Source organism: Homo sapiens, chromosome 10 (assembly GCF_000001405.40).
Source record: "Homo sapiens chromosome 10, GRCh38.p14 Primary Assembly".
Taxonomy (NCBI): Eukaryota; Metazoa; Chordata; class Mammalia; order Primates; family Hominidae; genus Homo; species Homo sapiens.
Genome location: NC_000010.11, coordinates 59,952,780 through 59,962,419, shown reverse-complemented (window position 1 = coordinate 59,962,419; position 9,640 = coordinate 59,952,780). Strand labels below are relative to the sequence as shown.

The 9,640-nt window shown below is 36.1% G+C and overlaps 1 long non-coding RNA gene across 1 annotated transcript; it reads left to right on the top strand.

Moving 5' to 3' along the window:
- Nucleotides 1–1,506: 1,506 nt before the first annotated feature.
- On the top strand, nt 1,507–4,203 carry LINC01553 (long intergenic non-protein coding RNA 1553). Its single transcript, NR_024340.1, has 2 exons — nt 1,507–1,569; nt 2,452–4,203. It is a non-coding gene; the product is annotated as a long intergenic non-protein coding RNA 1553 (long non-coding RNA).
- The last annotated feature ends 5,437 nt before the right edge of the window (nt 4,204–9,640 follow it).

The following is a 9,640-nucleotide window of genomic DNA, read 5'->3' as shown; positions in this document are numbered from 1 at the left end:
TGACACAATCTCAACTCACTGCAGCCTTGAATTCCTGGGCTCAAGCAATCCTCCCACTTCAGCCTCCCAAGTACCTAGGACTGTAGATACATGCCACCACATCCAGCCAATTTATGTATTTTTTGTAGAGATGGAGTCTCATTTTTCTGCCCAGGCTGGTCTCAAGCTTCTGGCCTCAAGCAATCCTCCCACCTCAGCCTCCCAAAGTGCTAGGATTATAGATGTGATCCACAGTGCCCTGCCTGCAATTTTTGTTTTAATTGTCAAGGAAAATAATTTACTTGGTAGAGACTTGGAAAAGAGATCTTCTCTTTGTAATCAGAAGTGAGATTTACAGGGTATCCATGTACCTGACTCAGTAGTGATCAAAATTTCCTAAGAATGATTCCTACCACTTTGGCAATGGATCCCACTGACCTGTCAATCACAAGTATTAACAAGTTCCAAAATCCACCATTTCCGAACCCATTCCTGCAGGTATTTTTTTTAGTCATATATGTATCTCAGTGAGTTTTAAAGGTTCTTGCTCTCTTACAGTTCAAAGATGAGTTCTATCCCATTGAGCCAAAAGAGATCCATTTTTTTTTTTTTTGGCAAACATTTCTAATCTTTCTCTCTACACCAAAGTAGGCCTTCAAACATAATTAATTTATCTCTTTCCTTCATTTCCCCATATCCAATTCATAAGCAAATGTCTTGCTTTATCTGAAAACCTACCCTGAGTACAAGCACTTCTCACCAACTCTACTGTCAAAGCACCTAGTCTAAGTTATCAATATGTTGTTTTTTTCTATGACAGCATTTACAGAGGACAGGCAATGTGTTCTAAAAAAGAATCCAGAACATATAAGGAATTCAAACAACTCAATAGTTAAAAAAACAATTTTAAAATAGGCAAAAGACCTTAATAGACATTTCTCAAAAGACATACAAATAGTCAACAGTCTTATGAAAAAATGCTAAATATCATTAATCATTAGGGAAATGCAAATCAAAAGCATAATGAGATATCACCTTACTCCAGTTAGAATGGCTACTATGAAAAAGACAAAAGATAACAAATATTGGAAAATGTAGAGAGAGAATTGGTGAGAGTGTAAATTACTACAGCCATTATGGAAAGCAGTATGGAGGATCCTTAAAAAAATTAAAAATAGAACTACCGTATAATTTAGCAATTCCACTACTTGGTATATATCCAAAAGAAATGAAATAAGTATGTGCAAGAGATATCTGTGCTTCTATGTGTATCACAATAGCCAAGATACAAAATCAGCCTAATTGTCCACCAACAGATCAACAGATAAAGAAAATGTGATGTAGATACACAACTGAATACTATTTAGCCTTAAAAAAGAATGGAATCCTGTCATTTGCAACAACAGGGTTGGAACTGGAAGACATCATGGTAAGTGAAATAAGCCAGACACAGAAAGACAAATACCACATGATCTCACTCATATGTGGAATCTAAGCAGCTGATGTCATAGAAGTAGAGAATAGAACAGTGATTACCAAAGACTGGGGAGAGGAAGGCAGATGGGAGAATGGAGAAAGATTGGTCAACAGGTACAAATTTATAATTAGCTATGAGGAATAGGTTCTGGTGTGCTATTGCACAGTAGTGTGATATATATTTCAAAAAACCTAGAAGAATTTTGAATGTTAACACTACAAAGAAATGATAAATGTTTGAAGTGACAAATGTGCTCATTACCCTGATTTGATCATTACACAATGTATATATCTATAGAAACATCACATTGTACCCCATGACTATGTGTAATTATTATGTGTCAGTTAAAATTCCTAAAAAAGAAAAATAGGGATGCTTAAATGCAAAGATTACTTGCAGTTTTCAACTGAATGATCCATACAATATAAACAAACTCTTCATGGTTACATGCTTCTCAAACCAGAAGAGTTTAAAAAGAACAGCTTTTAAAAATAACAAATATGATTCTGTCCTTTTGCTACTGTGGACATAATGACTGCTTTGCTTCTTATGACATTAAGGAACATTATAATGGCTACAGCAACTAAGCTGTATCAATAACGTTGTTCCTTTAAATAAATCTATGAAGACAATACAGACATTCATTAAGAGCAAAATAAAACAGTGAGGTGAAAGGTCTGAAATAAAGTTGAGTGAAAAACTTAATTGGTATTTTCATCTTCATACTGAAATGCATACAAATGAGAGGTATCAAAATAAATCAAAACATGAAAACCTTTTTAAAGGAAATGAGGCTGTGGGTTGATTTTTCACTATTTTCCCTTACTATTGTACAGTACATGAGAACTAAATAAAACCAAGAGGGGGAAACAAACAAACAAACAAACAAACAAACAAAGAATGTACCAGGCCCTGGCTGGTGCGGTTAAGAGTTATTCTGGGAAGGTGTGAGAGCTGCAGAAATCATTTACCCTGTCTTTCTCTTTTTCTCTAAGACGCTGACTGTGATTTTTCTCACTAATGACAAAAGGAATAACCTCTAGTGAGAATGAAATGATGAAGGGTCTTTGAAATTCTCTACTCTCTGAACACAGTGAATGTGAATGAAAGATCTCAGGAAGAGTTTTCAAAAAGCTTATTGCTCAATCACCAGCCTTTGCGAGGAGTTGTGGATTGACTGCTGTCTGCAATAAAGTCACCAGAAACTGCCATAGCTCTCAAGGCAAGCACATGCTGATAATGACAAGCTGCTGAGACTCAAAGCTATGTTTTAGCCCCAACCCCAGCACAGACTCACCACGAAGCTCTTTGATTTCCAGACGGAACTTTCATGAGGACACACCACACTTAACTAAACCCTTGACCTAACAGACCTATAGTGAAGATGAAACCCCAAAGGTAGCCAAGGGATTTGGTATTTTAGTCATGTTCTTTCATGCCTTAGTACCTTTAAGGTAAGCTCACACAGAGGTGGCCATGAAATGGTTAATAGCAAAATCCCTGACTTCTGTAGTCAGTGAGAAACATCCGAGAGTGTGTCATATGGTCAAAAGCCTCTTTGCGAAAAGGAAAACATTTCAAGTCATAGATTCATTCTTTTATTTCTACTCATTCATTCATTTTCTTCAATAAACATTTAGGAAGCTCCTACTGTTTGCCAATAACTCAACAGAGCTCTGGAGAAACAGATGAATTCAATGTGGCCTTTTGACTAGGGACGATCGCCCACCACACTTCTGATAACAGACAAGCCCTTCTTCAGCACTACAGGGTTAGCCAACCACAGTATTCCATCCCCCTGGCCTCAGTCAGAACCTTTGCTCCAGAAATTTTCCTCTGGAACTATCAGGAAGGACTTCCAGTTACCCCTGGGGACGCCATTTTGGAAACCTAGTACTGTCATGGCCAAATTATCTATCTCGGAGGAACAGCACCTACAGGAGTGAAGCCACCACACAGATGGAAACAAAGGAGGAAGGAAGGGAAAGGGAGAGGAAAAAAGGAGGAGGAAGAAGAAAGAGAGAAGGGGGAAGGGAAAGGAAGATAAGAAGGATACCACTCGGCATTGTTTGCCTGGATCCAGTCCTGCCACAAGCCAATACCACCACCACCCTTTTTTTAAAATCAATTTTATGACCCTGAGGCAATAATTCTTGCCCTCCTCCCATGCATACTTTTCACTACACTGATCTTAACTACCTGAAACTGAGAACATTTAGATAAAAATCAGAGAATTTGAGGTCAATTTAGTAGCACAGCAACCACATACATAAATAATTGCAAAAAAAAGTGATGAAGCATAAATACAACACACTGTCATGGTACAAAAAAGAAAGATCAACTCAGCTTAGACGGTTTATAGTTCATCAGCCAGAGGTTGGCTTATTCTTTTTTTTAAGGGACGTAGTCTATAACTACATCACAGAAAAAACAACATGTAGGTGTCCCCTTACTCAAGAAAGGCCTTGTGACACTGGAGGTAAGTTTGGAAGAATATGGATCTGTCAACCTGAGGAATTGGGAAAGATGCAAATATGGATCTGTCAACCTGAGGAATTGGGAAAGATGCAAATAGATAAAAACAGAACTATGGTCCAACAGATGTGGTATATTTGGTATGGTGGATTAGATACATCCACAAATTCTTTGCTGCCCATCCTAGTAAGAGGCATGGCCTAATTCCTCTCCCCTTGAAAATACACTGACATTTAGTGACATTTTATTAAATCTGTACCCTTTTGTACCCATCTTTTTCATGTGGTGAAATGAAAAAATACAGCACTTCTGCTGTCTCAGCACATTTTCAAGATATTCTAAGAAATGTCTTGAAAAAGTAAATATATAAAGACAGAAAGTAAATGAGTGGTTGTCTAGGGCTAGGGGTTGGGAATGGGAGTGATTGCAAATGGATATGAGATTTCTGTTTGGGGTGATGGAAATGTTCTAAAATTAGGTTGTGGGAATGGTTGCACAACTCTGAGAATATACTAAAAAAACACTGAATTGTATACTTTAAATAGGTGAATTTTATGACATGTGAATTACATCTCAATAAAGCTGTTAAAAAATAGATGAAATGGACAAATTCCTTAAAAAACAAAATTTAACAAAACTAATACAGGAGGAAATAGAAAATCTGAATGAAATTAAATATCAATGAAATTGATTCCTTCATTTAAAAATCCTTCCCGCAAAGTAAACTTCAAATCAAAATAGCTTCAATGATGAATTCTGAACATTTAAGCAAAAAATAATACCAATCTTATAGAAAACTCAGAGACTTGAAAAGAGGAGGGTATCATTTCCAACTAATTTTATAAGATCAGCATAACCTCGAAGCTTCCTTCTATTCCGAGATTACTAAGAGTTCATAAAGAAGTATTAAATTTTATGTACAAATTTTTCTGGGCCAGGTGCTGTGGCTCACGCCTGTAATCCTAGCACTTTGGGAGGCCGAGGTGGCGGATCATGAGTTCAGGAGATCAAGACCATCCTGGCTAACACAGTGAAACCCCGTCTCTACTAAAAATATAAAAAAAAGTTAGCCGGGCGTGGTGGTGGGTGCCTGTAGTCCCAGCTACTCGGGAGGCTGAGGCAGTAGAATGGCGTGAACACAGGAGGCGGAGCTTGCAGTAAGCCGAGATCGCGCCACTGCACTCCAGCCTGGGTGACAGAGTGAGACTTGTCTCAAAAAACAAACAAACAAACAAAAAATCTGTATCTATTGAGATGATTATATATACATATTTTCTCCTTTATATAAAAGGGATAATATGACCAAGTGGGATTTATGCCAGGAATGCAATCTTGGGATCAGCATAAAAAGGACAATTGTAAAAGATTGTCAAATTATACTTCACTAAAATTAAGAATTTCTGTTCATCAAAAGATACCGTTCAGAGAAGGAAAAGACAAACCACTAACTGAGAGAAGATATTTGCCATCATCCAGTGGTGTACCAAGGGCAAGGTAATGGGAAAGTCTGCCTTGTATGCAGACAGTAAAAGGGTTCATTGTCTGAAAATGTAAAAGCAATACTAAAACTCACTGAAAATCACTCTGCACTTTATTATTATCATGCACTGGAATTCTAAACATTATCATAATAAAATATTCATCTAGAAAAAATATCTTTTATTAGTTTAAGTTCTAAATGAAAGTATGATCCACAGATCTGGAGTAATCCAAGATCTTTTCAGAGAGTCCATGGAGTCAGAATATTTTCATAACTAAAACATTGTTTTCCTTTTTCATTGTGTTGACTGTGTGCGCTGATGGTTCAAGACAATGGTGACTAAATCTACTTATTCCTTAGTAGGAATCAAGGCAGTGGCACAGATTATACTAGTATACATTGTATTCTTCACCACTACACACGAACAGTTAACAACAATAAGAAAAACCTAGTTTTACTTAAGAAATATATCTAATGAGGCAGTAAACATTTTATTATCATTTAACTTTTTTATGGACGGGCATGGTGGCTCACGCCTGTAATCCCAGCACTTTGGGAGGCTGAGGCGGGCAGATCACCTGAAGTTGGGAGTTCGAGACCAGCCTGACCAACCTCTTTAGTAGAGAAACCCCATCTCTACTAAAAATACAAAATTAGCCGGGTGTGGTGGCACATGCCTGTAATCCCAGCTACTAGAGAGTCTGAGGCAGGACAATTGCTTGAACCTGGGAGGCAGAGGTTGCAGTGAGCAGAGATCACACCATTGCACTCTAGCCTGGGCAATAAGAGTGAAACTCCATCACACACAAAAAAAAAAAAATTATTGTCATTTAACTTTTTAATTAAAATTTCAATTACAATTTAAAAATTTACTAAAACATTTAACTTTATTAAATCCTAAATGTTCTTACCACCAAAAAATTATGCCTGTGTGAGGTGATGAAAACATTAATTAGGTTGACTGTGGTAATCCTTTCACAAAGTACACACATATACATATATATATAACCTTTTAATCAACTATACCTCAAGCTAGGAAAAAATGAATTAATTAACTTTAAAATAAAACATTTTATTAAATATGGACCTTAGCATACCCATCTTTTTTATGTGATGACATGGAAAATAAAGCAGTTCTGTTGTCTCAAGGAAAAGCACTTTGTGATTATTTGACTGTGAGCTAATCCAGCCACTTTTTTTTTTTTATGGAACACCAGTTTGACTTTTAAAAAAACAACTGATAGGCTGTAGTTATTCAGACTTAGTTATTCAGCAGAAATTTTCTTTAAAATGACCAAAGTAAGCCTGGCACTTCAAGGAAAAGAACTAAAATATCTGTTATCTAAAAGTTGAGCTTTTAAACCTAAATTGCATGTTGGAAACTTGTATCTGCTACTGTGAGCTTGAAAGCTGCTGTGAGCTTGAAAACTCTTCTGATGAGATTGGTGATGATATTAATAAATATAGTGTTTTTGCTACTATAAAATGAAATGTGTCTATCAATAGCATTTTAGAGAATCTCTCAATTCTATCCAAAATGATGTTATTCTGATAATAAAGCCCAGATCTGCAACTTTAATGTTATACATTTTTCACTTCAATAAAATTAATGGCTGGTTTTTCCTGACTATAGGAACAGTATCTTTCATCATACCGCCCACATTATCCTCCACTACCTGTAATACTTTTCTTTAGTAACTGTATTTCTGATAAGATTATGATTTCATGGGAAACAAATGAAAATATATCCGATGTAATCAAATTGAGTCAGCTTGCTATTGCTCTCAGGTGTTGCTTATCTTCACGAATGATTAATATCTATTGACTTTGTTCTTAGGTGATTTTAAATCTTTTCAGTTCTCTTCAGCATGAACTGTAACTTCTCATCATGGATGCACATAGTAACTGCATTCTCAGAAGATTTATGCAATTAACCAATTGATACAAGGTTTATTTTTCTTGAAACTTTTTAGAAGATGACAATATTTCTCTGGATTCAGCTCTAGCTGAGTCAGAGAACCCTGAACTCATACAAACTCATACCCCATACAAACATAAACTTTGCTTTATATTTATCCCAAAAAACAAATACCTAGCCGGGTGCGATGGCTCATGCCTGTAATCCCAGCACTTTGGGAGGCCAAGGTGGGCAGATCACGAGGTCAGGTGATCGAGACCAGCCTAGCCAACATGGGGAAACACCATCTCTACTAAAAATAAAAAAAATTAGCTGGGTGTGGTGGCGTGCACCTGTAATCCTAGCTACTCTGGAGGCTGAGGCAGGAGAATCACTTAAAACTGGAAGGCAGAGGTTGCAGTGAGCCGAGATCACACCATTGCACTCTAGCCTGGGCAACAAGAGTAAAAGTCCATCTCAAAAAAATAAAAATTAAACACAAACAAACAACAACAAAAAAAACCTTATGGTCTGAGTAGGAGTATCTGTAGGAAATTATTGAAGTTATTGCGTAAAAATTCTGCTTTAGTCATCCTTGAGGATTGTTTTAACTCCTTGATCTGTAAAATTATCTTAAGCATTCTTAACATGTTAAATCACAGGGTTTTAGCTCAGATTTTCAAAGAAACATATTTTTTGGTCCATAGTGAGTATAAATTTACGGTTGTATTTTGCATTCTGATTCTCTGATATTTGAACTCAGCCATCTGTGAGTGCTACTCTTGTAAGACTAAAAGACACCCACTAAATAGTAACAAGGATAACCAGTTCTACCAAAAACATTACCAACCAAATTTCCCCACTTCTTTTTTCGGACTTTCTTTTTGCTTTCAGTCTATTAAACTGTAAAGCAGAGCTTTAACATTTCCCTATTATTCTGCTTTGGCTCACATACTGAAATGACTACACAGCACTCTATTGGATCTTTTCAGTTGTTCATGAATTAAAATAATGTCCACGTTTTACAGTTTTTGGAATAGTCTCAGCAATGGATCTGTAGTTCCAGGACCTGTATTTACAAGATCAAGATAGTTTTAGGTGTTTCAAAATTAGCTGGCTTTTTTATTTTTGGTTTGTTTTTTGTGGGTTTGGGGGTTTGTTTGTTTGTTTGTTTGCTTTGCATGGAATACTATGCAGCCATAAAAAGGATGAGTTCATGTCCTTTGCAGGGACATGGATGAAGCTGGAAACCATCATTCTCAGCAAACTAACACAGGAACAGAAAACCAAACACCACATGTTCTCACTCATAACTGGGAATTGAACAATGAGAACATATGGACACAGGGAGGGGAACATCACACACCAGGGCCTGTCGGGGGCTTGGGGCCCAAGGGAGGGATAACATTAGGAGAAATACCTATTGTAGATGACTGGTTGATGGGTACAGCAAACCACCATGGCACGTGTATACCTATGTAACAAATCTGCACATTGTGCACATGTATCCAAGAACTTAAAGTATAGTTAAAAAAAAAAAAAGTCACAATGTTTTGAGCCTGGTGTAAATGCCAGGAATATTATATGGACTTGGTATCTGCATCTCGTTAATTGTACCACACAACACTCTGCCATTCAAATAATGAATACTATCTGGTCAGGATAAGAACTTATATCCTCTGTGATTTTTTAAAGATATGTGATTTCTAAAATAAACTTTTTGTATATATTGATAAAAAAAAAAGAAATATGTCAACATGTGGAAAAGTTGAATTAAACCAGGGAAGTAATATTTTCCAAATTGTCAATGCTTGATGCTACAAAGTCAGGCATGAGTAAAAAGATTGATTCAGAATATAAGATAAGTCAACAGATTTTAATGTGAGATAGTATGAAAAGTACACTTATATGGTTTCAGAACACATTATAACTAACCTGTAAGAAACTAACTTCTGTCAAGTTTTGATATAGTGTCAAAGAAGAATACCTACAATTATTTAAAGAGCCTACTAAAATACCCTCCCCCCTTGAACTACATATTCATGTAAGGCCAGATTTGTTTCATCTGCTTTAGAACAATATATGGCAACAGATTGGATGCAGAAGGATATTTGAGACTCTAATTCCATCAATGTAAAACAAGACCACTCTTCTCACTAAATTTTGTTTTGTTTCAGAAAATTAATTATTCTTCATAAATATATATTATGTATGTTAATATGAGTTTATGTATTTTTATGGTGTAAACTTAATTTTAAAATTAATACTTTTGCTGAGTTTTAGTTTCTAATAGGGTAAATATCAATAGATTTAACCAACGTAAACAAAAGCA